The sequence below is a fragment of the Homo sapiens genome, chromosome 17 (genome assembly GCF_000001405.40).
Source record: "Homo sapiens chromosome 17, GRCh38.p14 Primary Assembly".
NCBI classification, from domain to species: domain Eukaryota; kingdom Metazoa; phylum Chordata; class Mammalia; order Primates; family Hominidae; genus Homo; species Homo sapiens.
The window spans coordinates 79,789,877-79,816,524 of NC_000017.11; the positions used below are offsets into that span (position 1 = coordinate 79,789,877).

Below are 26,648 nucleotides of genomic sequence, written 5' to 3' on the forward strand. Positions count from 1 at the left end.
TCAGGGAGGACGCAGAGGGGGCGCCCGTGGCGGTGGGCGCCCAGCGGTACCTTTGGGTCGGGGGGAGGTAAGGCTTTCTCAGCTCGGGTTCGGAACCAGAAAGCCACCGGCCCCCCGGGGGTAAGGGGTGGGCGCCGGCGACCCGGGCCGACGCCGCCACCTGCAGAGGGCGCGCGCGTCCCACCAAGGTCGGCCGCCGGCCCTTCGGACGGACGAGGGAAAAGCCAGCCGCGGCTCCAGGGTGCCCGAGACTCAATCGCACCACCTGCACCCCGGCCACCTCCGCCTCCGAAGTCTCAGGAGGAAAGCCCCGACCCAGCCCGCAGCCTCTCTCGCCGCGTTCAGGACCCGAGGCTGCGGGCAGCCGCCTTCCACGACGGACAGCACGGAGTCCCGCCGGGCCCCGAGCCACGCCAGTCTCGGACTTCAGCTGGGTCCGAGGCTCCTCTGGGCCTGGAGGGCTTTTAGAGGAGAAGAGGAAACCAGCACAGGAGCCCCAGAGGGCCGGGACAGGTCTGTGCGCCAGCGGCCCGGGCGCATGGCACAGTGCCTGGATCAGGATTGGTGCGAAGCCAGCATCAAACGGACAGAAAATGAATCCGATCCGACACTCTAGGAAGAGCATGAACCTTCCAATCCAACCAATGTTTGTGCGAGGCCAGGTTCCCCGCCGCGGTGGCCACACAAGCCAGCCCTGTCCTCGGGACGCAAGGTAACCAGTCCGGCTGGAGGCCGCCACGCACGCCTGGTCTCTGCAGTTGTGGCGGATTCCCAGGGACTCTGCCCAGGAAATGGAAACCCGTGAGGGCGCTCCTCAAAGCCGAGGGTGGTGATGGCCAGCGAACCCGAAAAAGGGGCAGGGTGGGCGCCCTCCCATCCGCTTAAGCAGTAGCCCATTCCACTGCCCCACACGCCCAGGAGTGGACGCAGGAGGGAGCCCCGTCCGAGTGGACGCAGGAGGGAGCCCCGTCCAAGTGGCGACCATCGCGGGGCCACCCCACCCACCTTCCCTTGACGTCCCCTGCCAGCACAGAGACCGCCCGTTGCGGTGGGGCAGTCTCGGGCGGAGATCTTTGACGCCTGGCGGCCAGCGACCCTACTCGGCCGGCAGCGCAGGCCCTCACGTCGGAAGGACACTCAAGGCTCTGTGACCCGCTAACCTGGGCCTGGGCAGCAGGACGCTGCTGTCCTCCCGCGCCCTCCCACACCGGTCACAGCTGGGGAAGGGGGAAGCTCTGCCAAGGGCCGGGCCACTGACTCCTCAGCAAGGGGCTGGAGATGCGTGAGCTACCCCTGTCCATGTTCCTCCTGGTGGGCGTTAGGGGTGAGCCTGAATCGTGGCTTCCTGGCAGGGTGACGTCTGCGGGGCACTACGGAAGTAGAAATGGGTTTAGTGCGGTGGCCTCTTTGGGGATCCGAAGAGTGGCTCTCCTGTGCGGGCTTCAAGACCCCGCCCCCACTGCTGTGAAGTCTGCGGCCAGAAAAGGCCAAGAACATCTCTCTCTCCACCCCCCACCCCGCACTCTGCTCTCCCGCACCGTCCCTTGCCCAGCGCTGGGGTTTAGGCCCGCCCAGGAGACCTGGGCCGGAGAGGCTGCGGGGACTCGGGGGCGGGGGTGCGCGGGGCTGCGGCGCGGCGGCTCCAGGTTCACTAATCACATCAGCAGCGCTCTGCGCCGGCTCCGAGCTTGCAGTTGCCTAGCAATACCCGCGAATTCAATTCCTCAATCAATAGGCGCGAGGCTCTGCATTTAGGGGAGCGCTAGCAAGGTTGGGTGGGTCTGGGGAGTGGGTCTCAAGACAGCTACGAGGGGCTGGCACCGGGAGGCTTTGGCTAACGCGGCGAGGCCCCGGGGCCTCGGAGACCAGACGCCTCCGGCCTGGGGGTGTGGCGCGCTGGAGGATCCCGCCAGAGGAAAGTGGAACCCCCGACCTCAGGCGCATCCTCCCGGGATCCCCAGATTCTGCCCGGGGCCCGAAGAAGTGCAGCCAGTAGGTGCGGAGAGCCACGGATTCCCCCGGACGGGCTGAGGGGAGTCTGCCCCAGCGGCCTCCCACGCCCACCTCTATCCCAGCCAGGTGGGTTCCCCAGTTGGGGAAGGGCCTTTGCAGGAACGGTGCCCCCGCGATGGGGGCGAGGATGGGGGCGGGAGGACGGGATGAGTACTGAGAGAAGAGGGACGGATCCTCTCCTCCCGGGATGCCTCTTCCCTTTGCTCAGGGAAGGAAAAAGAAGAATAAAACCAAGACATGTCTCTATTTACAAAGTATATATTTAAACACGTAAAAAGCGGTATTGGATACAGACATTCACGACCGCAGAAGATAGGTACCGAAGCTTCACTCTTGAGCTGAGGCGGAGATCGATTGGAGATTTGTACAAATCTTAGAATTAAATAAACCCAACAGCGCACACACCCTGCGCGGTTGCAGACTCCCAGCCACGTGGCCCCCGGCCCCTGCCCACCCACCCCCCAGGTCAGCGTCGCAAGAGCGAGAGAAGGAGACACATACACACACGGCCACGGACAAACAGCAGGACGGAGGGGCGGCAGGGACAGAGCTGGCTGGAAAGAAGGTCCAAGGGAAGGGGCAAAGTCAGCCCCCAGGAAGGGAGGGAGGTGGGAGTAAAGGACAGGCGGGAGAGAAGGGAAGGCGGCGGCCAGGTGAAGACGCGTATCCCCCAGTCCCGTCCACTAGGTAACAGACATGCCCCTTCAGTGAAGTTTCATCTGAAAATAGCATCGACATTTAAATAGATACACTCGGTCAACGGCGCTTCTTTATACAAAGTCTAAAATACCAGTTTTACAAATGTGAGTAGATAAAAATCCCCATTCCAGGGGCTTCTCTTTATAGGCGCAATTTGATATTCAAAAACAAACACAATCATGTAGTACACCGTTTCCCTCCTTTTCTCTCTTTAAAGGCAAGAAAGTCTGGAGGAGAGGCTGAGAAGCCGGGAGTGCGGAGGACGAGGCTGGGGTTCCCTCCCAGCACCCCCCACCCCACGCGAAGCTCCCCCACCCCCGACTCCCCGCCTCGCTCCCCCCGAGTCTGTGCTTCCTCTGGCGTGCAGGGCCCCCGCGCCCCTCCCTCAACAAGCAATGGGAAGTTAGATCTTCGCTGGCCCTTTAAGGGCGGGGAGGGCAGGGAGGCTGCGGGATCCGTGCTCCAAGAGACGGGGGTGGAGTGGAGGGGACTGATTTGTGCTTTTGAGTCAAAAGAGGGGCGCGCATTCTGCGTCCTCGGAGCGCAGAGCGGTCAAGTCCGCCGGGCAGGGGCGTCCCAGGCCCCGCCGCCTCGCACGGCCTTCCCCGCCGCGGCCGTCCCCACTCCCAACTCCCGCTCCTCCCTCCCCCTTTGGCGGAGTTTGAATGTCGAGTTCAAATAGAGAACACTGCGAATCGAAAAGACCTATAAATTATAGCTTTTGCTTTTAAGAAGGACGGGGGAAAAAAAAGGAAAAAGCAAAAGTTCCGATGCGCATTCTTGGATGAAAACCCCGCCTCGCCCCTCCTTCCCGTGCCCGGCCGGAGCCGCGGGGGTGAGTCTAGCCCCAGCTCCGAGCTCCGAGCCGTGGTCCTCAGCCACACTCCAAGCCTGGCCGTGGAGAGGCCCTGGGTGCGAAGCCACTGCTCCTAGCAGCGCCCGCCGCCGCGCCTCCCTCCGTGGGTCCCGCAGGGTGGGCCTGTCTGGCCATGTGTCCACCACAGAGCTGGCGGCCCGCCCTCCCCAGGCAGGGAGGCTTGTCCAACTCTTCCTGGGAGGTGGGGGCCACCGTCTCTTCTCCTGGCAAAGCTAGAGGACGCGAAAAGGAAAAGTCCACCCCAACACTTTTCTTGCAAAACAACTGTCTCGAACTCTCAGCACTGACACGCAATCCTCCCAATTTATCCTGGCATTTCGGGAATGTAAACAGATTCGCTGGATTTCTTTTCTTTCTGCGGAGTAAGGAAAGGAACGAGGGAACGGGGAGATTTTATCCACATGACATACACACGATCTGCGTGTACCACACACACACCCCTCCCTAAAGTGCATTTCCTGGTGTGGTCCTGGGGAGAAACCTCCTGTCCCTGCCTGCTGGGGACGTTTTAACCTTCAACATCACACACGAAAAGCTTATTCAAGTTAATACTTTTTTCCCTAATAGACTTCTTTACCTTAAAAAAAAAAAAATAGAAAAAAGGAAAACAGACTGACCCCACCCCCCCTTTTTTCTGATTGGGGAGCCAACCTTTTGTTGGCCTGCCTGGCCAATGGGAAGAGAGAGCAAATCTGGGCCGGGCCTTGGTGCCAGGAGTCTGGCATTGGGCTGTGGGAGAAGGGAGGAGGGGTGAGGTGGGCAGGCCAAGCCCCTCCAGACACTCTCAGAAACCTGTACCCAGGGCCCAACTTCCCTAGAGCTCTGGGGCAAGGGGGCCCCTCCTGCCCCAGCTCATTCGGGCTGCCCCAACTAAAGCACAATGAGAGTCTCTCTCCTTTAAATAAAACAACTTCGAGTTGAAATATATATATTTAGATATTTTTCTTAAATAACATATTTACATCTAATAGAAAATATAACTCTAGAGATAATCTTTCCAACAAAAACTGAGGGGGAGGAAGGAGGGATGAAAGGGGCTGGTGGGGTGGGGGTGACATCAGGGACGGGACCAGCCAAAAGGCCACATCCCACCCAGAAATAAAAATCACTATGCCAAGCTCACGCTCACTCTCTCCCCTGCTCTCCTCCTGGACACACCCACCCAGCATTCATCTTTTCTCTTTAAAAAAGCCTTGGTCCGTGTTACTTTCCTTAATGGTGACGGTCAAAAAGTTTGAGGTCACGTCCGTGACCACCACCTTCTCCAGGTTAGTCAGGGAGGGGCTCCAGGACTCTTCCTCCGGGTCCCCCAGGATTCTGGCCACAGGGATCCTGGCGATGAGGGAGGGCCTTCCCCCCTGGGCCCCCATGTCCCGGTACAGGCCCCCCCCAGAGCTGGGGGGGCCTGAGCCATGTCGGACCCGGGTGCCATTGGGATCTAGGGCACCCTGGCCTTTGGCCTCCAGGAAGGCAGCCCTGTGCTTTATCACCCTGGCCGGGAAGGTGTCCACAGCCAGTTTGCCCGTGGCCTCAGCTGAGCTAGGGCTGGTCACACCACACTGCACCAGGTCCGAGTCCTGTCTTCGGGCCAGCTGGATCACACTGTGGCCGGCTGGAAACTTTCCTGCCCCGGAAGGGGTGTCGTCCAGCTTCCTGCCCTTGAGGTACTCTCCGAGGCCGGCGCTGGGTTCGCCTAAGGGCCTCTGTGAGGGGTCCGGGAGCTCCTTCCGGGGCTTGGGGCCTCGCTTCTTCGAGCTGTCCCCCGGTGAGCTGGGCTTGTCATCCACTCTGCTGGTACCCCGCTCTCGTTCCCTCTCACGTTCCCGCTCCCTCTCTCGCTCCCTCTCCCTTTCTCGATCCCGCTCCCGGTCCCTATCCCGGTCTCGGTCCCGGTCCCGAGGGGCCTCTGCGCGGCAGGTGCTGCTGGTGCTGGTGCTGCTCGCTGGCGGGGACAAACCCATGTTTCGAAGGCCCTCCCGGGCCCGGGAAGTGGAGGCCAGGTCCTGGGGCGAGCGGCCAGGGTAGGGGATCCGGATGCCCCTGGCTGAGTCACTTCGAAACTCGTAAGTTTTGGCCTTTGCCTTGGCCTGCGCCTGCAGGAGAGAAGATGGTCTCAAGAGTGGGGCAGGGCCCTGTCCACCCCCACAGGACTCCTCCTCTATCCCTGACCTCCTATCTTTACCCTATGATGCCTGGGAATTTCTACATGGATGCATGGATGGGTGGGTGGGTGGGTGGGTGGATGGCTGGATGAATGGGTGGGATGGCTGTTGGAGCTGAGAGGTAGAAGGATGAGAGAAGAGGTAGAAGATTTGGCTGGAAGTAGTCATTTGCAAAAAGTACACTTTTTGCATTTGATTATTGTGTCCATTTGGGAGGGGGAGCGTAAAGGAATTCTAGTGTGGCCAAGCCCGTCCCCCCAGACACAGTTGGTGCTGCTACTGACTTGGTGACATCTTGTCAGGGAACTCCCTCCTACATTACAAATAGGCAACATGTGTGGACACCCCATTGGCTCACAGCCCTCAGAGCCCCCTTCCCACAAATCACTCCATAACATGGTCCTCCACCATTGGACACTGCCAACCTACTTTGAGGAGGAAGGTTTTGGGCTTGGGTCCACGCTTTTTGGGGCCATAGAGCTCCATCTCTCTTTCCCTGGAGAAAGAAGAAAAGGAGAAAGGGTGCGTGAGTAAAGAAAGCAAGTGGGACTCTAGTCCAGGCTGGAAAGAAGCCACTCTACTTGTTTCTAAGTGAGCGGCTGGGACTTGGAAGGGTCTGTACCTTTCCTCAAAGGCTGCGAGCAAGCGAGCATCCAGGATGTTTTCCTCCGGTTCCCATGTGCTGTACCTAAAGGGAATCAGGAAGAAGTGGGCATCAGTCCCAGGAGCAGGGTGAGAGCAGAGGGGGTGTGTGTGTGTGTAACTTTTCTCATTGCATTGTATTGTATTTCAATGTAAAGGCAAAAAGAGGAAGAAAGAAACCTCCCGAATAACAGTCTGGGGTTGAGAATTGCATATAACCTACTTACTTCTGCGACCATCCCTTCCATTTCACGAGGTATTCCATGCGTCCCTGCGGGTGCAAAGGCGATAATGTGTGTGCATGGGGAGAAACGCATGACGAGGATACAAGAAATGCATGCGAAAATGCATGCACCAGATGAATGCTCGAAACCCCGCCGCAAAAGGCACGCGCCCGCTGCATCACCCCTGCACCTAATGCTGCACAAAGTGCATGCACCGGCATTCATTCCCCACCCCGCCCCCCACCCATGCAATCCGTGCATCGCTGCAAGTCTAAGGAAAGCGCCTGGGCTCAGAGCTGCCGCCGCCGCCGCCGCCACGGCCGCGGCCGCTGCTGGGACCTGGGGGAAGGGAAGCTGGGCTGCAGCAGGGGGAGGGAACCCGGGCCGGGAGGGGAGGGCCCGGCCGCACGGAGGCCCTAGGCCCGGGGGCACCTACTTTCCGTATGCGCCGCTTCAGGAGGGCTTCGGCCGCGAACACCCGCTCCCCCACCGCTGAAAGCTCCATGTTGACTCGCCGCTTCCCCCCTTGGCCGCTTCCAGGAGCAGAAAAGCAGCAGCCAGCGCACGACAGACCATAATACTCTCCCGCTGACGTCAGTTCTCCTCCCCCTCCCGGCGCTCTCGCTCCCTCCCGCGGCCCCCCTCCCGCGCTCCTCCGCTCGGCCCCCTCCCCTCCGCCCAGTGCTTCCTCCCGCCCCACGTGTTGCTAACGACGTTGCTAAAGCCGAGCGGCCGGAGGCCTGCGCCCCCGCACGCTGATTGGACGAGCTCCGAGCCACGCCCCTCTGCCTTTCTCCCCCGCGTTGCTACGTGACCAGCGTTCCAATCGCCAGGGGGCGGAGTCCGAGGCGACTCCAGAGACCGAGCGCGCGAGTGGGAGGGGGCGCCGCCGGAAGTGACGCCAGGGGAAGGCGGGCCCGGCCGCTGTCAGTCTGCGGGGCTGGCGAGGGGGGCAGGCCGCCCTCTGTCCTCGCCGGGGCCCCCCTCCCCCGCCACCAAGTTGTCCCTCCGGCGTTCGGCGTCCCCCACAGCTCTCGCTGGGATCCCCGCGGCGATGTCAGCCCGGCTCCGCCCCTCGGCAGACCCCGGCCCGCCGCCCCACCCCCACCGCCCAGGACTCGCGCGGTCCCCTCCCCCAGCCGCCCGCGCCGCACAATGCACAATGCACAGGTGCTGGGGCGCCGCGGGCCGCGCCCGAACCCCGAGAGCCTGCGGCGCGCCCATCGGCTGGCTTCTCCCCCGGCCCCCGCCCCCCTCCCCCGGAGCCGCACACCCGACCCCCGGTCTCCATGGCAACGTCCCCCCCCCCCCCAAGCCGGGTCCCGCTAACAAATCAATGTGCATGTGTCTCAGGCTCCTGTCGCGCGGCCCTGCCCTCGGCCACCCTCCGGGCCCTGCGAGCCGGGCTGGCTGGAGCGCTCGTCCCCGGCTCCGAAGCCGAACACAGACCTGGTGGAGGCCGGGCTGTTCCCTCCGGAGCCCGGCTGCAGCCCAGGACCCCACAGAGGATGTCGCGCGGCTTCTTCCTGCCCCCCGACCATCCCCGACGCCCGCAGCCACCTGCCCCTGCCCTTAGCCCAAGCTGCCCGCCCCCGCCAGGCTTCGGCCCCGAACCTCGCCTTCCCCTCGCCGCCCCCTGCTCGGGGCCTGGGTGGGCTAAGGGCATCTGGGCGGAGCCGGCAGAGGATGGGGCGAGCGGCTGGGGGTGCGTCTGGCTTTCCCCGAACCCCGGCGCCCGGCCCGCGCACTTCCTGTCCACCGCTCTTCCCAACGTGGGCGGCGGACATCCTGCGAGAAACGCCAGCGCGGGAAGCTGGGGGACGTCGCCGGGTCCAGTGCGGGCTGGGCGAGAGGGTCTCACGCGCGAAGATGGCGGGCTCCTGGAAAGGGACAAGGGCCGGCCGCGACCGCCTTGCCGTGCGCACACAAGCACGTGCACCGCCGACCCTGCCGCCAGCTAGGCTACCGGTGACCCGTGGCGGGGGCGGCGCTGGGGACAGCAGCCTCACTCTGGGCCCAGCTCCCTCCCACCCTGTTCTCTTATTGCTCAAGCTCCAAATCACAACTCCCACTCCTTGGAACCCACGATTTAGTTCAAACATCGATGATCAGCCTGACTGCAAGCAGTTTCCCTTGGCCAGAGATGGGGTGGAGAAAGAGGGGGGGAAAAGAGAGAGGCAGAGAGAGAACGATAGGAAGAGAGAGAGAAGCAGCCAAGGAGTCTGACACGGAGGGGCAGGAAGCCCAGAGCGGAAAACTGGCCTCCTGTCCAAAGTGAGGCGCGCGCAGGCGGCGGCAGCCGCGAGGTCCTCGACCCGCCGGGCAAGCGGGGCGCTTCGCCCATCTTCCCTCCCAGTCGTGCCCCAGCCTCTGGAAACACGGGTTTCAGGTTTTGGCCTTGTTCCTAAACTTCACAAGGTGGCCGCTTGTCGAACAGTCCCATCTCTCCGGCCGTTCTGTCTGAACGAACAGCGCGTCGAGGACGCTCAGATCTCCCAGTGACCCTCGCGGGCCGCCCGTGGGAGGCCGCCGACGGCCGCGTCCTTAATCATAAAAAGTCATTCCCGGTAACAAATAGTTTCGTCGGCCGGTGCCAGCGATACAGCTGTTTCTGTTTAAGCTTAAATACTTTCCAACAGTTTGGGCAGTAAAAATAAAGTCGGCCTCAGCCGCCTGTAAGTGTCTGGTTTCCCCGCCCAGAGAAAGCCCACCCTCCGCCCTGGGCCCGGGTCCCTCTGCCTGTCCCGCCCGCCTCCTCTTGGAATCCGCTGCCCGCCAAGGACAACAGCGCCCCAGCCCCGCACCGGCCGCCTCAGCCCCTCGAGCTGGCTCCAGGGCCACTGTGGAAGTGGGAGGGAGGGGGCCTTCCCAGAGTGGGCCGGGGGGACCTGACCCGCCTGGCCTCGCGCCCTACCCCCACCCCTGGCAAGCTCTCCCGCACCCGCGAAGAGCGGTGATTTTCCTTCAGATAGGGTTTCTGGAACCCGCTTCCCGGAGTTGTGCTTGCCCTTGATGCCTTTACTGATCATGGGGTTTGCGCTAGGCGTGCAGAGGGCGATGGTTTCAGTTTCTCCCCAAAAAAGATAGCTGTAGTCGTTCCTCCATGCGTTCTTTCCATTTTCCTTCCTTCCTTCCTTCTTCCTCCCTTCCTTCCTCCCATCCTTCCTTCCTTCCGTCTCCCTCTCTTTCTGCCCCATTCTCCCTTCTTTGCCTAAATACCTCTGAAACTTGAAGAAATGGAACCCCTGATGCTGGCAGGTGCGGCCCCCTCCTCTGGATAGGGTCTTAGGTAATTATCTTAGCTTCCCCACCCAATTTTCCACCTGTCTTTGTGCCTGATGGCGATTATTTCGGAAATGCTTGCTCTAAACAAAACTATCGCTTGCGAAAAGTCTGAGTTTGCAAACGTCGGGGAATCCTGCAAAGCTTGTGGCAAAGGTGGAACTCGATTCAGAAGGAAGGAAGAGGTATAGAATGATCTGAGGGCAGGGAGCCTGGCTCTTGTCAGTAGCAGACGCGCTCAGTCCCGCCAAGGAAGGCAATCCCCAACGGGGCAGAGTGTGTCTCATCCCTGCCTGGCGCAACCCCTGCCCCCCAACCCGTGAGAGAGCAGCGTTGCAGGGGGTGTGAAAACAGGTCACCGGGCAACCTCATTCCTCGACAGTTTGGAGACAAAGCGGGAGGTGGCGGTCTGAGAAATGGGAGCCCACCTCCCGGGCTCTGGCTGGGTGGGCGCGGGAGGAAGCCCTGTGTTCCGGGAGAGGGTGCTAGCATGCGTGGGCGTGGAGGGGGAGGAGGTTTGCAGTCATTCCAGCCGGGTCAGATCCAGACCGAGAGGACAGGTCAGCTGGTGGCATGGTCTTAGGAACCCACAGAAAGAGGATCCTTGCTCCCCACCTTTCTTATCAACCCCCTTCCCCAACCGACTCAATTCTCGCCACCTCCCTTTTCTCCATACAACCGCTTTCCTGTTTCAAAGTTAGATAATTGCCTTTCCCACCTACACGTCCCAGGAGCAAACAAAACAAAGTTGTAAAAGACAAGACACGCTACTCTTAATCCCATTGCTCGGCGGTCCGCTGCTCAGGCTGCGGCTGCCAGGTTGGCGTGCGCCGCCTCTGCAGTAAATAAGGTAACTGCTTCCTATTACTTTAGCCCCATATGGCTGCAATTTGAGTGTCTTTAGAGACGGTGCGTGTGTTGGGGCGGGGGATGGGGGGAGTGAAAGTGGAAATCAAATGCTCTCAGATCGCATTTTTATGAAGGAAATTGTCGGCGATTCTCTTAACAGCCACCCCCTCTCCTGAGATGAGCTGCCCCGTTTCTTTGTTTACGGAAATGCGGGCGCCCGCCCTCCTAGGGACACCTGCTTCCCAAACCCCTAGGTCTCCGGCCCTGTTCCGCACTCTTCTGGCGACCTGGGCGCACGGCCCGCGACTGCCCTTCCCGACAAAGGGTCTGCGACCTGCTCCCGGGAGCCCGCCCTACCCTTGGCCCCAGCCTCTAAAAGGTGCCAGGACTCTGCCCTCGATGCTGCAGCCTCCTGAGAGCCCGGAGTTTGGGGGCCCTCTTAGGCCTCCCTGGGCCCGCGGACCACGGACTCGTCCTCCGGGAGGGAGGGTGGAGGCTGGAGCACTCCAAGGAGAGGGGCGGACGGGCCCCAGCGGGGCGCTGGGCTCCTGGGTCTTGGGCCAGGCCGGCAAGCCCTAGCGCGTCCTCTAGCTTGAGGATGAGGCCGGCCCGGTTCTTTGGGAGCGTTTCAACTTCGCGGCTTGGCGGGCGTCGGACCTGCCCGGTCTTGGCCGCGGACGCGGGCAGATTTGGAAGCCAACCGTTTGCCTCGGGCGGGCCGGCAGTGAAATGAGCGCGGGCGGCTCCGAGGCGTGGCCTTGTGGCCAGTGGCTTACCTCCCGCGGTCCCGGAGCCGGGCGGGCGTCCCGCAGCGCTGCTTCCTAGACGCCGAGCTAGGGCTGGGCGCCTGCCGCCTGCTGCGGGAATGCCGCAGGGTGACCCGACATTCTGGAAACTGGTCCCAAGGCCCAGCCTGGGTGACTGGAAGTGAGGTTGTCCAGGTTTCTGGCCTTGGTTCCCGCCGCTAGTTGTTCCCAAGAGCAAGAAGCTCCCACCTTTCCTGTCCCACTTTCTCCTCCCTAGGAGACATCCACACATCCTCCTTGTTAGAGAAGCACTGGAACAGGCTGCAAAGGATAAGAAGGGGCTGCCCACTCTACAGGAATCTCCCACAAGGCTGCACACATTCTAGAAGCCACATTTCTGCCTTAAACCCCGGAAACTGAAATCAGGCCCCCTTTCTTCCCCTCCACAGGAAGAAAATATCCCCTCAGAGTTAAGCAACATCTATTGCTTAACTAGTTGCCCTATATCTAGGGCCTGCGTTATCCCAGTTAACATTCACAACAGCCAGGTAACATCAGTTCCCTTACCCCCATTTTCTAGATGAGGAAAGCGAGGCACCGCGGGGCCAAGTCACTTGCTCAGGGGCACGCAGCAGGGGTTCTGCCTGAGAAGCCGTAAGCTCACGTCCCTAAAGCTCCGCAGCAGGGGCTTTGGATCCTTGTGAATTTCAGCTCCTCCAAGGCTTGAGGAAAGAATTCAAGAAAGGTCCAGTGGAGCCTCGTGGAAGCGCAGAGCAGTGCTCCAGCAGGAGGACCCTCAGAGCCCTCGGCAACAAGGATGAGACTGGAACAATAGAGACAGGAGGGAGTTCTAGGGGCCGATTTAAGTCAACTGGAAGCTGGATGTTGGTGGGCGTTTTCGCTTTTTTTTTTTTTTAATGCTAGAGCACAGTGGCTAAAAAAGGTGGGCTCTGGGGCCAGCCTGCCTGGGTTCCAATGCACTTGCTGGCTGTGTGCCCTTGTGCAAGTTACTTAACCTCTCTGTGTTTCAGCTTCCATAACTATAAGAAAAGGAATATTAGCACGTTTTCCCAACAGAGCCCATGGGGGGTTCAATGAGATATGGAAGCACCCCCACACTGTCAGGCACAGGCAAATGCTCAATAAATGTTCATTATTAGTTACTGTTGTTGCTGTTATTGGTGTTCTGAGACCAGAACAAACTCATAGGACCTAGTGATTCTGTTCTGACTTTCCCCAGGAACTCCAGTATCAGCCTCGGCTGTCCCTTCTTCTCCATGAGGGGCAAGCCCAGAGAGGGTGCTCAGCACACACCCATCCTTCCCTGGGAAACGGACCGTATGCTGCTTAGAGGCAGTTTTGATTCATTCCTTGGGCATCTGGACCGGTTGGGCCACGTGGGCTCGCTGGGAAAACGCGCCGGCGTCCCCTCGGAGCGCCGAGGCCGGGCGAGCTGAGGGTGCGGTGCCGCTGGAGCACGCGCACAGCGCCCGAACCAGCACGCATGCGCGCCGCGGGCCGGCCCCATTTCCGCCCCCCCCCCACGCGCCCCCCCATCACACGCACACCCAATCCCCGGACTGCTCGCTGGTGCTGCTTGTGAGACCCATTCCTAGGAGCCCCAGGCGCCCTTGGGGAGCAGAAAGAGGCGGTCCAGAGTTGGGCCGGACAACCGCAACCTGGAAGGAGTCCGGGAGTCCTTGGGTCTGGGCGCTCAGTTCTCACGGTCTGGGGAGAAGGGGCTCAGACGGGACGGACTAGGCACAGCCAGGGGCGGGGACTGCGAGAGGCGAGGGGAGGCCGGCAGGGTGTGGCGGCAGAGCAGCCCGGGACAAGTGAGCGGCCTAGAGATCAAGGCCTTGGAGTCCCGTCCGAGAGCAGGACGTTATCAGAAACCTCCAGCCCCAACCCCTGCCTGGAGATGCCCGGGGCGCGCTGACTCTGTTCTCGCATCACCCCGGGCCCTGGCTCAACGCGTGAGCAGCCTGTGGTTCCAGATACCCCGAGTGGAGAGTTTGACCCCAGATTCTGCCTGCACTGACAGGCTTGGCCTGGCGGTTACGAGCCACGGTTGATGAGCGCCCCTCCTCCCGTGACCCAGCTCATGAGAAAGGCGGGGAGCACCAACCCTCCCACGGGAAAACACGGGGAGAGGCTGGGCGAGTCAAGGAATGGTGGCACCAGAGCCTGGGCGCAGAGAGGCAGCTGGACCTCCTGGGCTCCCTTGAGCCGGAGCTCCGCCAGGGTGGGCACTTCTGCCTCCAGCGATGCTGGGTGCCACAGTCCTCCCGCCTCCTCCTGGACCACACGCGGCTCTCCAGAGTCCCAGGGAAGCTCCAGGGACTCCTCGGACTCCGCCTGGCGCTTCCCGTTTTTTCATTTCCTACCCCACCCCCATGCAGAAGGAATTGAAGTGACTTTTTTGCTGGGACGTCGGGACCTCAAGTCAGTTCCAAAGTGGGAGTCTCTCAGCCGGTGCCGTTCCCTTGCGAGATTGTTAACGCCAAGAGCCACAGTCCAGCTTCCCCTTTTAGAGATCAGAAAATCCTAAGTGCAGGGCCTGCCGGGTCATTCGAGAAGGCACAAGCTGCGGAGGCCAGTCTGGGGCCTCTCGCAGAACCTCGGGGAACAGAGGCGTCTGCCGGGCCGCCTACCCTCCGCAAGAGTGGGCCACGCGGGCGGCAAACCCGAGGGCAGACGTTTGGGAGCTGACCGAGAAAACGCGACGGTGCCGGCGAGGTTCTGGGCGAAGCCTCGGCGTCCTCCACTGTGGTCGACGCCTTTCCTCGCAGCCCCGGTACAGGGCTTCCTCGGTGCACCCCTAGCCGTTGCCCCGGGAGGAGGCGCCGTCTGGGACACGAAGGGGCTCGGCTGGCGTCGAGGCTCCGCGGCCAGAGCGCGGCGGCTCCGCGCACGCCCAGAAGCCGTGTTGCCGGTTCCGGGGCTGCCGGAAAGCGTGGGGCCAAGCTGCTGCTCTGTGCCCGCGCAAGCGCCTCGCTACCCGGGCGGGACCTTGCTCTCTCCGGCCGCCCTGGGCCGAGGGGTGGCTCAGCATCGTGGGGGCGGACGCAGACGGCCACTCGGCCGGGACACCGTCGGCCCGGGAGCCGTGATGCCTTTTCTCTCTGCAGCTGAAGCCTCCGATCGGTTTCCCCGCCCTTCTGTAGGAAATCAAATTCAGGGAACATGGTACCGTATTTACCCGCACAACTTCCTCCCTTGACATTTTGCACTCTCGAAGTTGGGGCAGAAGTAATTATGCAAACATCTGGGGCTGTCCCGCGCCGCTACCGGCACCGTCTTATTCATCCTGAGAGCCGCACTCCCTCATTTGCATAATAATGGCTTATCTAGAATAACACAGCAATCAGAGGCAAAATTAATTTTCTTCAGCTAGTCCTTGAGATCCTAAAAACAGAGGAGGCTTATGGCAAGAAAAGCCGGTTTAGCAGAGGGTGTAGGGTTCCTGACCAGGACCAAGGAGAGAGAAAGTTTAAAGCAGTGGAAATGTGATGTTCACGCTGAGTTTCTGTATTTTTCTAGTTTCAACCTCAGAGCTTACTTTTTGGCCAAACGGATGAAGGGGTAAGCCACCGTGGAAGTCCCAGCAGATACCCCCACCATCGCCCCATCCATCCTGGGAGGTTCGGTGGCCCTCGAGGCAGAGACATGGACTGTGGCTGGGGTATTGGGGGCAGATGTTCAATGTGTTGGGGTGTGGAGAGGGTAGATTGGCAGCCTACTGAGGATTAAAGGGGTGTCCTGCAAACCAGCTCCGGGGTCTGGGTCCGGACCTTCCAGGGACTCAGTTCCGCACCCTTTGAACAGATCAAGACAGAGCACTTCCTTGCTCTGGGATGGTCGCCTCAGCCACCGAGACAGCAGAAGTCGTTGAATTCAAAGCAGAATAAAGGGGTGCGTGGGTGGCGGTGGGGTGCCTTAAGTGGAGGAAACATCTTTTATACATTAAAAAATCTTCTTGATCTTTTTTAATACGCAGAGGAGTGGGAGGAGAAAATCCACAAATAAATATGGTAAATGAATTTGGACCAGAATTGTAATTGCAGGGCCACTTTCAGGGCAATTCCGGGCTCCAGACAATTTTTGCAGTAAAACGTGTTTCCTCCGAGGGCACCATTCTCACTTTTGCAGTCACAGAGCAGAGAGTGAGAGGAGCTCAAAAGGGCTCTGCAGCACCTCCCGTCACCCCTCTACGGACAAGAACGTCCTCTCTCTTGGAAAAGATGCAGGTTTTACGTTTAATGAGAAGGTGCCCACAGTTCAGGCTTGCAACTAAGAAGTTTGGTATCAGTCTTAAGTTCTTTTTTAAAATGAGCTTTTAAATAGTTCAGGGTTACAGGAGGAAGCCTAGGAAGGAATTGCTGTGAGTAGAGCAACCTGTGGGTGAGATGGGTAGGGGGAGGAAAAATGGGTGGAAGATCTCAGTGACACCTTCAGATGCTGTATTGGTGGGAAGGGAGGAGGGTGCCAAGGGACTGTAGGGCCTGGAAAAGGGAGTGTCTCTGGAGAGCCGGGCTGCTGGGTTGGGAGGGATAGGCCTCATTTTATCTCCTTCCTCTTCCCTTTGCGGTCATTCCCACTGCCCTTTTGAGGCAGTCTCTAACTTTTTTACACCACCCCGACGGTGCAGCCTGACTTTAGAGGTATCATCTCCTTTCCAATGTGTGTGTGTTCGTGTGTGTGTGTGCCTGTGTGTGTGTGTGTGTGTGTGAGAGAGAGAGAGAGAGAGAGAGAGAGAGAGAGAGAGAGAGACAGAGCGAGAGAGAGATCAAAGTTTCCCTAGGGGAAGGGGGCGCTCTGGGGGAGGGGCGCCCCAGGATACCCGAAGACTCCAGCTGTCCCCAGGTATTTTCCCAGCCAAAAACCTCAGGGGGAGTTGGGATTCCAGGCCTTCCATTCAGTCCCAGGTTTCTCCCTCAGTTTCTCCCTTTTGGAGAGTAGGGAGGACCTGGGATGAATAGAAGAGGAAGTGGCCAGCAGGGAGGCCTGCAGGGGTTACCAATTCTTCTGTTCCCTGAAACCTTTTCTTAGGTCTGCAAGACAGGATCTCTGGCGGACCTCATTCTCCAGCCTGCTCCAGGCATTATACGAGCTCTGGGATGGGGGTGGGCAGTCCCTTGGGGAACTGTCCTCTCTACCCCACCCCCACTCTGTCCCAAGCTGAGGGGAGGGGTTGGACCTCTCCTCTTGAGGGGGGCGCCATTCAGCCTGGAAGGGCCTGAGCAATGGGAAGGGTGTCCACTGGATAGGGGTGCAGGACACTGGGCTTCAGCCTTGGAGTGGTCTTACAGCTCCCCAGTGAGGGACAGCGGGGTGGGTACAGGTCCCTCTCAGGAGTCGGGAACATCTAAGAGCATATCCCCAAGTCTGACCCTCACTTTGCACAAGTCTGGTGTGCAGTGGTGTCCAGCCGAAATGAAGAAGGTGGGCACAGGTGGGCATGGGGGAGTCGAGGGTCTTCAGGAGCAGGTGGGGCCATCGCTGGCAGAGATCACAGAGATGTCGTTCCCAGAGTGAGGGCATCGAGTGTAGGGAAAGAAAAGGGGAGAAAGACAGGAGTGGATGTTGGGGGAGATGATTTGCCACGGCAAGACAGGGCAAGACTGAGTCACTTTCTCCCACAGCTCCTGTTGGGTCCTTCGGCACCTGCAGTCTAACCCAGGTGCCTCACCAGCTGCCTCTCTCAACACTGACTGCCCGTCCCTTCAAATCGTGGGACTAGTGGCCAGTGGAATCTGGGGAAGTGCCTCACGTGCTTGCACCACAAGATCAGGTCTCTCTCCTGGAAATCAGTGGTCCCACCTGCAGAATGGGCCAGTTCTTTCCCATTTTGTTGCTATGACAGGCATCTGTAATGGACCCACAGGATCCCAGGAAAGCAGGACTCCATACTACACACACACACACACACACACACACACACACACTTGCTGTTTTTCCAAGATGAGAAAGGAGTCCTAGGCTCGGTTTCTTCCGCAGCTTCTGTGGGTTCACGCATCCCCTTCCCTGGAAGGAAAGTTTCTGGGGCTGTCTACATGGCAGTTCCAAGGATGCCCTGGGAAGTGGTGTGTGAAGGGTTGCAGGGCCCTGGATTGTCACAGGGGGCAGGGCAGGGCAGAGGGTGGAGCTAGGCAGGACTGGAAGAAAGTGTGCAAGGGCAGGAAGGGGGTTGGATCTGATACCCACCAACCACTCATCACGGCATCTGCGAGGGAGTGCTGGGAATACCTGTTTCTACAGTGGCTCAAATGGACATGATGTGTTATGGTGTTTGTATCCCATTGGTATCTAGCCTGGCACAAGAGGGTGTACCAGAGTGCTGGGAGTGGACAGATGTAGCCACCATCCGCTGAGTGAGGGCTGCTCTGAGCCAGGCTTTGTGCTGGAGGTTTACGGGACTCTGCTTCTATTCCTCATCACAACCCTTAGAGGGAGGCTCCATTTAAAGATGAAGACACAGGCTCAGAGGGTTAAGTAACTTGTTAATGACCAAGTTAAGTCACAGGACAGAGCTCAACCTAAATCTGTCACCCAAGAGTTGAGGAGCCTAAGGGGAAGCTTCAGGGTAGCTCTTGCTGGTGTGGAACCAGGCACCTAGGGGAGCCGGGCATGGCTGTGCTGCGCTAGGGTTTGGAGCTTGGCATGAAGAGCAGCCTGTGGCAATGTCACTGGCTATGGCCAATCCCAGCCTTTGGCGGGACCAGGAGCTTAGCAGCCTGAGACCAGAGACCCACTGGCTTTTCCAGCCTCTGTCCAGCTGCTCAGGGAGTAGGACTGGCTGAGATCAATGGTAGTCAGTTTCAAGTCCCCATGCTAGGGCTCCTGGGTTCCAGGATTGACAAGCCACATTGACACAGAAGCCCATGCCTGGGCTGCTGCTGAGATGCACCTGCATAATGCATAAAACAGTGGATTGGGAATGAAATCCAGGCTTGCTCTGCCCCTGGCTAACTGGGTTACCTTGGACAAGTCTCTCTCTTTCTCCCTGCAAAACCAGCATTCGGAGCAGGCAGCCTTGGGGCCGCCAGTCTGGTCTCCATGTTCGACACCTCGAGATCATTCGTGTAGGCATATGAGGGTTTTCCTGAACCTTTTGGAAATACTTGTTGACTGTTGAGTGCTGACCACTGATGCACATGCCCAGGGCAGTACACAGAACCCTGGAGTTTGTGCCTGCCCAAGAAGCTAGGGACTCCTAGTAGGAGTGGCAGATTCCTGTCCCAGATACACCGGGTACTGGCCACCATTTTCCCAATGATGCCAGGCCCAGAGCTACCAAATACCTACTAGGAGACACAGGGTGGCAAGAGGAGGACTCCAGGGGAAGGCCTGTGTGACTAGGCTACCATTCCAGGCTCAACTCTGGCGAGGAACAATCTAAGGTGTGCTCCTCCCTCCAGCCCCACACTGCTGGCAGCAAGGCTGCAGCTCAGACTAATTCCAGGTACATTCTATAGGTGGCATCATGCTACTGGAAATGGCCTCCTTGGAGAAAGAGGCTCTCTTGTCAGCATCTCCAGGCACTGGCGAGCCGAGGCAAGGTTGACACAATCACAGTCTAAACTGCGCGGAGAAGGACACCTGAGGGGCGATGGGTATGTGCTGAGGGACAGTCCTCTCCATATTAGGGGCCACTGCTCCAGGTGCATAAGCTTCTTCCGTGCCATCCACCGGTGAGGCCTTGGGGCCTGTGGGTGTCGGGGGTCTCTCCTGCCTTCTGCCACCCGTGGGAGGTAAAGGCCTCACTGTGCACCTGGTGGGGGTGCTAGGCGGGCTACCACTAGGTCTACAACAGCATACACCTGCACCAAGTCGCCTTGCCACCAGGCTGCGTGAGAGAACTGGGTCAGTGCACCACGTGTCCTAGCCAGAGAGGCCCCTCCACACTCCCTGGACATCCTGGGGCCACTTTCACCGTCCAGACCCTTGCAGGGGCAGCTCAGACTCCTCTTCCGTGGGCAAACAGACCAGCCAGAAGTGGGGAGAGGGAAAGCAAGTGGGGCGTCCTGTTCGAGACGGACACTGAGGTCACCAGCACAGGCAGGCGTCAATCTGACCAAGGAGACCAGGATCTCAGGAGGCTTCACCCAGGACCCACCGCCCCTCTGGCAGAGAATCCCTGAGATGACTCCTTCCTTGCCCAGATCCGGCCCTGATGGCTTCAATCTTCCGAGCTGGGGGGCCTGTCCCCTATCCCCCCAGCCTCTTGCAGCCTGCCGTCAGGAGCAGGGCTGGCACAGCGACAGAGAAGAAAGGTGTGACAGCGACACCTCTCACCTCTCCCTTCCACCACCTGGCTGGCTCCAGGCCGCCCGCGCCTCCAGGGCACAGAGCCAGTGGGTCCTCGTGGCCACTGTTCCCGGCCTCCTGGCGCTGAGGCTCCACGCAGCACTCTACCGGCGCCTCCCCCCGGCCCCCGCCCCCCGCCCAGACCCTAGGGCTTTTCCCCTTCTCTCCCCCAGGCGTTCTGCTTGGTTTGCCGGGATCCCAGGCGTCTGCTCAAACTCAACACGGACTGGCTCACATTTTTTTAAACAAAAGCAATTAGATTTCAATCCCGGTTCATCTGCATTTGCACCTCCAAATGGGGGGGCAGGGGGAGAGGGAAAGGATGGGGAGCGCGGCGGCGGCGAGTGGCACCTTCCGAGCGCTGCAGCTGGCCGGGCAGCCATTGCGCCGGCCACATCTGGCCCGGGCTGAACGGCCGCCGCGGCCCCCTCCCCGCCGGCTCCCGGGGCCCGCGCGCCGCAGCCCGCTCGGCGGCGCGCTCATCGATCGCCGGGGCCGCGGCCGGGCGAGCGGAGAACAAGGTATAGCCTGTATTTAGGTTCCTGCCCTTATATGGCGATGTGCGCGAGCGCCCGCCGAGCGGCCGCACCATATAAGGGCACGCGGCGGGCGCCGGGCTGAGCTGGTGCGCGCTCATTGGCCCGCGCGTCTCTCGGCAACCGGCTCTCACGAGTGGAAACCAGCCAGCCGCCCCCGCCCGCTCCCCGCCCCCTCCCTTTCTTTCTCCCCGGGTATCTCCGCTCCTCGCCTCCGCACCCCCTTCGTTGCTTAACCCCCCTTTTTGCCTGTACCCTCTCCCCAATTTTTCTTCCCGCGGCCTTCCTCCTCCCTTTGCCTCGTTGTCATTCTTCTCCCGTGGCCGCTTGGCCTGTCCTCTCCCGCTCCGCGCACGCTCCCACTCCCACCCCACGCACCCCCTCCCCAAACCCGGCGAGCAACGGCGGAGGAGCGGGAAGGCCCGGATGCGGGAGGGGAGCTTGTGTGCGTGTGTGTCTGTGCGTGTGTGTGTGTGTGCGTGTGTGTGTGTGTGTGTGAGAGTGTGTCGCTGCCGCAGTAGCCGCTGCAGCATCAGGTTCACTGCGTGCACGCACGGGGCTCTGGGAACAGTCCGAGACCGCCCCCCCCCACCCCCCTCCGCCACCTCCCCCCTAGATAATCAGAGCAATTAGCTGCAAAAGAAATGTGCTTCCGAGGCTAGGGAAGTGCTAAATCATAAACAGCCCTAGATACCTCCAAATTAGCATCTCCCAGGGTGTCCCTTCGGGCTGGATTTCTGAATGCAATCATAATAATGGTAAATCGATGTCTCATTTAAAGGTTACTTTAAAAACCTGCCAATTGTTGAGGAAAAAAAAACCCCTGCGTGCGGGGAGAAAAATGCACTAGGAGAACCACTCTGGGGTTTCCAGGCAGAATGCAGTGGAGCGGTGGCTGCGGGTTGTTGGTCAGGTGCCCAGCGCCGGGCCCACCCGCGGGATGGGAGCGGGCGAAGAGAGAAGGCGTAGCTATTCCTCTGGGGATAAGGCTCTCGATCGCCTCAAACTCAGGCAGAAAGGGCACTGCGGATTCGGGGGCGCCCCTCGCCCCCTCCCCAACCCGCCGAGGCGCGCGCACGCGCACGCATGCACAGGTGTCCGGCTGACCCCTCTGGGGCTGTCACGGTTCCGGCGCGCGTGTTCTGGCGACGCCGTGGGGGCCAGAGCCATCCTCTCGGGGACCCACTCCTGTCCTGAGTTCACCCAAAGGGAACCGCTAAGACAATGGACACCCTAGTGCCCTTAGGGACTGTGCCTGTGACCGAGCTCGCCTCTAGGGCTGCCGCCTGCGGGAGGCGCCCGGCGATGCCCCCTGCTGGGCAGCCTGCGCCTGGAACACCGCGCAGGTGGGGGTCGCGTGGGAGGGCCAGCTAGAGTGGGGGATGGGGACCAGGGCGCGATGACCAGCGCGACCTCCGCCCGTCTTGGGCATCCTCCCTTACCCTCGTCCTCCTTCTCTTCAAAATCTCAAATTCCCTAACCTGGTCCCTACCAGAGGAAGGTGGTGGAAGCGGGCACTGCCAGGGAACGAGGGTGCTAGATTGGGGAGGGCGCTGCCTGCTGGATCGAGTTAGCTTCGGCCGCCTCCTCCTTGCTGTTTCTGCGGAAGGAAGCGCTGCGGCGGCGGCAGCCCTTGGTGCCAGCATGTATCCCTCCCTGACCTTAGCTGAGATTCGCTGCCGCGGTGTTTTGCCCAGAAGAAAGCTGTTTCCCTCCAGACTAGGGACTGGGGAGTGCCCTTGGGGCGGAGAGTTTGCCTGGGTTTTCGCCCAGCGCCGGACCTCTGCCATTGAGACCTCTTCAGGTCCTGGAAAATCCATGGATACCCGGGTGCTGCCTCTTGGTGCCCCCGAAGTACACCATCCCTGACCCGCTCTCCCCACGCCCATTTAGCCAGGTCATTTATAATAGATCCCCATCTTCAAGTTTCTGCGTGCTTAGGTACATGGATTCCTCCGCCCAGGTGGGGGAGGGGGAATGCGGACCCCCGGATGTCCCCCGACTTCTCTCTGCACAGGGACGTGTCTCAAATGCGCCTTTTCTTCTCTGTTCTTAAACCCCAGGAGCAGAAGCGCTCCCGAATCTGGAAACCCCTTTTCCTGACCTGTTGGCTCCTGGTCCCTGGCCCCTGCCCTCTTATACACTGAATTTGAATTTTCCAGGCGCTGGTGGTGAAATCAGAAGAGTCGAGAACGCAGCTGGCGGAGAGGGATGAGAGAGAAACTTGCAGAAAGGGAAAAATAAAGCACCAAGTCTACAGGCACACCTCTCCCCGGCCGGCCCGGCCCGCTGGGGCCTGGGTTCCTTTGGGTTGGGGAAGTGGGGGTACGAACCCACGCGGCTGTGCCAAGGGGTCCCAACTCCGGAGTCCAACCCCACCCACCAGTCCTCTGTGCGCACTTTTCGTTTATTTCTCAGCAGTCTCAGTCCTGGAGCTCCTGGGGCGATTTCGTCCCCTGCCCTGGTGCGCCCCCGGGCCCTGCCCTGAGCCCATGCCCCAGGCCGGGTGTCCAGTTCACCCTGAGCTCCCCTTGGCGCCCGGAGAAGGGTGCTCGGGCCCGGGTGCTGGGGAGCGGCGGGGTGGCCGCCGGCGCCTCTTCGGCGCGGATGGCTCTCGGCGGGGCCGAGGAGGGGGTCGCAGAGCGGCTCCCCGCCGAGAGGAGGGTGGGCGCTCGGCACCTGCTGAGCTACGGTGGTGGCTGCGGTTTATGGCGCCCGAGGATCCACCCGGATCTTCTCCGCGGAGTTCCGGGCTTGGCTCGTCTGTAGTCAGCACGCACACAGCTTTGTTATTTGTTATTTTTTTAATTTTTCTGCGGGGAGCATCGGGGCTAGCCCGCCCAGCTCCAACGCCAGAGGGTGTGGGGGAGACTGATTTCTAAATGGGTGGGAGCGACACACGGTCACCGAGGTCAACACCCCATTAACATTTCCCCACCGGAGCGCCGCGACCTCGCGAGGGCACCGGGCACCGGGGTGGGGGTGGGGACAGACCGAGCGCGCCCTTCCTGCGCAGTCCCCGGCCGCCCCCACCCCGTGCCCCCTCTGCCCGCAGGTAACCGCCCCTCCCCCGCTCGCCCCGCGGCCGCCCCCGCCCGCTCCCCCGGGAGGGTCCCTGCGCCCGGCCGAGCGTCCCCGGGCGGGCACCGAGAGCGGGGCTGGGGGCTGCGGCGCCCGCCCCCGCCGGGGCAGCGTGGCGACTGGCGCCGCTTTGGCAGCCATTTTCTGCAGCTGCCGCGGCCGGGGCTCTGCGGAGTGAGGCGGAGGCTGCAGCCGCCAGACAGAGGCGGCGGGGGCGGCGGGCGCGGGGTCACCGGCGGGGGGGCGCCCGGCGGCCGGAGGGGGGCGGGCGGGCGCTGTCGCCGGTGCCCCCGCCCCTCCCCCTGCTGCATTGCAGGCAGAGCGGGGCCGCTCCGCGTGGCGAGCGCCTGCGATCCCACCCTTTCCCCGCCATCTTGTACCCCGGCTGGCGCCTTCCCAAAGCGGAGCTGCCGCAGACAAAGCCCGCCCCGGGCCGGCGGGGGCCCCTGCAGCCCACCCGGGCTGCGCGGCCTGGGGGCCCCCGAGGCCCGCACCCTCGCCCCGCCCCTCCCGGGGGCCGGCGCGCCCCCCCTCGCCCCAAGGGGGGCTCTGCATGCGGCGACCACTCACCCAGCCCCAGAGGGCCGGCCGGGACCCCCCCTTCCACTCCCGATCGCCAGACTGGACCCGCGCCCAAGCCCCAGCACCAGCCCACCCTGGTTGCTGGAAGGAGTAGGGGTTCCCACAGGCGCGGCACAGATGAGGGCTGGGGACTTTTTCTAGCTCTGGGTTCCTTCTCTCTTCTGATGGGGTTGGGGGGGTCACTAGCCCTAGAGCCCCCATCGCCCCCTCCTAGGGCCAGCCCCACGCGCCAATTTTCCCACGGAAGAACCGCAAGAAAGACGGCAGCGTGGGCGGCTCTCGAGACCCCCCCCCGCCCCCCCGCCCAGCAGCTGCTGAAACCGGGAAAATTGGGCACTCCATTCTCTCAGATGGGAGCACTATCGCCTCAATCCCCCAGCCCTCTCGGTCCTTTCCCTCGACGCTCCTACACAGGAACTCGGGACCTAGGCCCTGGGCTGCTGTGTGGGGAGTGAGGCACCTCTTCCTCAGCCCAGAAACACCGAGAACCCGGTGCCTAGCAGCCTATGTTATCAAGCATGCCACTCCTTGATAGGAAATTTGCTCCCCAATGATTCCATTTTCCTGTCTCCAAGTCCTCAGGCCTGGCATTGGGATGGGAGCATCCAAGGTCCTGTCCACAACAACCGATCGTATTTCCTGGGGACAGCTCGACCCCCAGGGGAGCACGTGGCCACCAGCTCTGCCGCCTTCCTCCTCCTGAGACCGACCCTAGGAGTCCTCGTGCCCCAGTCTACCTAGACTCCCAGGAGCGTCCGGCCGGAAGAGACAGTGGGAGATGAGGAAACTGAGATTGGGAGGGGGACGTGATGGGGTAAGGCCATTCCTAAGGCTTGTGGCAGAGCTGCCTCTTCACCCCACCCCCATTTCTTTCAGATGCGGAGATCAAAGCCCAGGCTCACTGGTGGGTCGGGAGCTCACTCCTCCAAGTACACTTGGCCAACCTCGGGGAGCCCGGCGGCGGCGGGAGGGGCGCGGGCACCTGGGGGATGGGGGTGGGGAGCGGCCAGTCTGCTGGTCCACACCTGAAAACGGGGTTTCCCCGACCGGATGCCTGCCGTCCCCCCGCCTCCACTCTGCGGGGTCGCCTGCTAGGGTCGGGAAAGGACCCTCCACCGCCACCCTCGGGGTTCGGTCCTCCCCCACCAACGTCTGCCAGTCCGCGTGGATTCCGAGCCCGGCTCCGGAAACCAGTCTGACCACTTCGCCCATTTCCCAAGCCTCCCCGGGCGGCGGCCGGCCAGCTTCCATGGTGCGGTGAGCCAGGCTCGGCCGCCGCCTCGGCCGCCCTGCGATGAATGGCTCTGCCCAGAAGGCCGGCGTCCAAGCGACGCTCCCGCCCGCGCGCCCGGGGCCTCCAGGCCGCTCCCCGCCCCGTGTCCCCACATTGCGAAACGGACGGTCGGATGCTCCGCTCCAGGGCCGGGGTCGCCTGTCCCCTGCCGACCTGGCGCAGAGCCGCCTTCTGCACCCGGCCCCGTGCCGCCCTGGGGTTGCTTACAGCCGGGCTGTGCCACCGAGCTGAGCCCGGAATCGAATGGCGGGCCGCGGAAAAGGCGGCCAGGCCCGCAGGGGCGACTGCTCGAGGTCCCAGAACAGCGCCCGGGGAGCCCCAGGCCGGCCTCGAGGGGACCGCGGGCGGGACAGGAGGGGAACAGCTGGCATCGGCGCCCGGCTTCAGCTGCCCGACTGCGGTGGGCGGGTAGGCACGTTCCCCCGCAGCCACCCGCGCACGGGTTTCCAAGGCGTCAAGGGCAATTCACCTGGTCGCTGCAAGAAAGCGACTGCGCCCCCACGTCCAGCCAGCCGCCTTGTCCATGAGAACCACCTGGAGGGCAGGGTCCAGTGCCCGGGTGCCACCCGCCACGTGGTGACGGCTCTGGGATGGCACAGGCTCGTGCGTGGCCGCCGGGCTGCCGTCTCGGCCCCTGTGCGGGTCTGCGCTTTGGCGGCCGCCGAGCCGAGGGGAGAAAATGGCCGGTGGCGCGGGGCCCGGCCGAGGGTCGCGGGAGGGCTGGCAGGCGCGGCCGCTGGAGGGGCGCCGCTCTCAGGGCTCGGTCAGGCGGCCCCTGCGACTCCTGGTGCCCGGCTGGGACACGTGGGGCCGGCTTTGCGGAGTCAGCAGGGCCAAGGTGCGCGGGGTGCGCTCCCCCCCGGAACCCCGCCCCTTCTCACCCCATCTCGCTTTTTTGGGAGAGGAGAGTGGAGCCGTCAGCACCCACTGGCAGTGTCGGTGCTGTGCTGGGAGTCCTCCCAGACCAGCCCACTCCTCCTGGTTTGAGCTTCCGATCCATCCCTACTCCTTTACGGTTCTTCTTCCCCGTAGTTAACCTGCGGAGAGGAGGAGGTACTGTCTCCGCACAAGGTACTGCGGAGGTACCTTGCGGAGGAACCTTGCGGAGGAGGTACTGCGGTGGGGAGGCAGGGGGGAGGCGCATCTGCCTCCGCACAAGGGGTCTAATGGCTTGCTTATTCCTTCTAGGCCAGGTTGAAAGGTTTTTAAAAGCAGGTGGGGGTGCCAGGATAGTGAGAAAAACAAGAAAAGACACTGCTTTTTACCCCATGCGGGGCAGAGCTGGTCTCCTTTCTGCAGGTGTTGAGGGGAGTTGAGTAGGAGCCCAGAGCTGGTACAGGCCCCGTTTAAC

General features: G+C 61.6%; 1 protein-coding gene and 1 long non-coding RNA gene across 2 annotated transcripts, besides 16 other annotated features; one reads left to right on the forward strand and one right to left on the reverse strand.

The window, feature by feature from the left end:
- Positions 81-230: a silencer, noted in NCBI's record as "silent region_9084". NCBI's record gives its function as "represses an Ori minimal core promoter by ATAC-STARR-seq in GM12878 lymphoblastoid cells {active_cell/tissue: GM12878}" and the evidence as "EXISTENCE:reporter gene assay evidence [ECO:0000049][PMID:35858748]".
- Positions 892-1,701: an enhancer, noted in NCBI's record as "H3K27ac-H3K4me1 hESC enhancer chr17:77764567-77765376 (GRCh37/hg19 assembly coordinates)". NCBI's record gives its function as "activates a minimal SCP1, AML or CMV promoter by ChIP-STARR-seq in primed H9 embryonic stem cells {active_cell/tissue: H9 hESC(primed)}" and the evidence as "EXISTENCE:reporter gene assay evidence [ECO:0000049][PMID:30033119]".
- CBX8 (chromobox 8) lies at positions 2,256-7,201 on the reverse strand. The gene is made up of 5 exons (NM_020649.3): positions 7,054-7,201; positions 6,621-6,664; positions 6,374-6,439; positions 6,181-6,247; positions 2,256-5,682 (listed from the first exon to the last, which is right to left on the reverse strand). Exons 1-5 carry the CDS (start codon positions 7,120-7,122, stop codon positions 4,759-4,761), a joined length of 1,170 nt encoding a protein of 389 aa, NP_065700.1. The 5' UTR covers positions 7,123-7,201; the 3' UTR covers positions 2,256-4,758.
- Positions 3,470-4,184: an enhancer, noted in NCBI's record as "H3K27ac-H3K4me1 hESC enhancer chr17:77767145-77767859 (GRCh37/hg19 assembly coordinates)". NCBI's record gives its function as "activates a minimal SCP1, AML or CMV promoter by ChIP-STARR-seq in naive H9 embryonic stem cells {active_cell/tissue: H9 hESC(naive)}" and the evidence as "EXISTENCE:reporter gene assay evidence [ECO:0000049][PMID:30033119]".
- Positions 5,246-5,986: an enhancer, noted in NCBI's record as "H3K27ac-H3K4me1 hESC enhancer chr17:77768921-77769661 (GRCh37/hg19 assembly coordinates)". NCBI's record gives its function as "activates a minimal SCP1, AML or CMV promoter by ChIP-STARR-seq in naive H9 embryonic stem cells {active_cell/tissue: H9 hESC(naive)}" and the evidence as "EXISTENCE:reporter gene assay evidence [ECO:0000049][PMID:30033119]".
- Positions 6,900-7,279: a silencer, noted in NCBI's record as "silent region_9085". NCBI's record gives its function as "represses an Ori minimal core promoter by ATAC-STARR-seq in GM12878 lymphoblastoid cells {active_cell/tissue: GM12878}" and the evidence as "EXISTENCE:reporter gene assay evidence [ECO:0000049][PMID:35858748]".
- Positions 7,234-7,528: an enhancer, noted in NCBI's record as "tiled region #5922; HepG2 Activating DNase unmatched - State 1:Tss, and K562 Activating DNase unmatched - State 1:Tss". NCBI's record gives its function as "activates a minimal TATA promoter and a strong SV40 promoter by Sharpr-MPRA in HepG2 and K562 cells {active_cell/tissue: HepG2 | K562}" and the evidence as "EXISTENCE:reporter gene assay evidence [ECO:0000049][PMID:27701403]".
- Positions 7,234-7,649: a biological region, named in NCBI's record as "Sharpr-MPRA regulatory region 5922".
- Positions 7,440-7,649: a silencer, noted in NCBI's record as "silent region_9086". NCBI's record gives its function as "represses an Ori minimal core promoter by ATAC-STARR-seq in GM12878 lymphoblastoid cells {active_cell/tissue: GM12878}" and the evidence as "EXISTENCE:reporter gene assay evidence [ECO:0000049][PMID:35858748]".
- Positions 7,680-7,839: a silencer, noted in NCBI's record as "silent region_9087". NCBI's record gives its function as "represses an Ori minimal core promoter by ATAC-STARR-seq in GM12878 lymphoblastoid cells {active_cell/tissue: GM12878}" and the evidence as "EXISTENCE:reporter gene assay evidence [ECO:0000049][PMID:35858748]".
- Positions 14,417-14,516: a silencer, noted in NCBI's record as "silent region_9088". NCBI's record gives its function as "represses an Ori minimal core promoter by ATAC-STARR-seq in GM12878 lymphoblastoid cells {active_cell/tissue: GM12878}" and the evidence as "EXISTENCE:reporter gene assay evidence [ECO:0000049][PMID:35858748]".
- Positions 18,721-22,603, forward strand: LOC124904071 (uncharacterized). The gene is made up of 2 exons (XR_007065928.1): positions 18,721-19,110; positions 22,503-22,603. It is a non-coding gene; the product is annotated as an uncharacterized LOC124904071 (long non-coding RNA).
- Positions 19,257-19,386: an enhancer, noted in NCBI's record as "active region_12921". NCBI's record gives its function as "activates an Ori minimal core promoter by ATAC-STARR-seq in GM12878 lymphoblastoid cells {active_cell/tissue: GM12878}" and the evidence as "EXISTENCE:reporter gene assay evidence [ECO:0000049][PMID:35858748]".
- Positions 20,196-20,275: a silencer, noted in NCBI's record as "silent region_9089". NCBI's record gives its function as "represses an Ori minimal core promoter by ATAC-STARR-seq in GM12878 lymphoblastoid cells {active_cell/tissue: GM12878}" and the evidence as "EXISTENCE:reporter gene assay evidence [ECO:0000049][PMID:35858748]".
- Positions 20,476-20,595: a silencer, noted in NCBI's record as "silent region_9090". NCBI's record gives its function as "represses an Ori minimal core promoter by ATAC-STARR-seq in GM12878 lymphoblastoid cells {active_cell/tissue: GM12878}" and the evidence as "EXISTENCE:reporter gene assay evidence [ECO:0000049][PMID:35858748]".
- Positions 21,261-21,786: an enhancer, noted in NCBI's record as "H3K27ac-H3K4me1 hESC enhancer chr17:77784936-77785461 (GRCh37/hg19 assembly coordinates)". NCBI's record gives its function as "activates a minimal SCP1, AML or CMV promoter by ChIP-STARR-seq in naive H9 embryonic stem cells {active_cell/tissue: H9 hESC(naive)}" and the evidence as "EXISTENCE:reporter gene assay evidence [ECO:0000049][PMID:30033119]".
- Positions 21,261-21,875: a biological region, named in NCBI's record as "H3K27ac-H3K4me1 hESC enhancer GRCh37_chr17:77784936-77785461".
- Positions 21,696-21,875: a silencer, noted in NCBI's record as "silent region_9091". NCBI's record gives its function as "represses an Ori minimal core promoter by ATAC-STARR-seq in GM12878 lymphoblastoid cells {active_cell/tissue: GM12878}" and the evidence as "EXISTENCE:reporter gene assay evidence [ECO:0000049][PMID:35858748]".
- Positions 22,604-26,648: the final 4,045 nt, after the last annotated feature.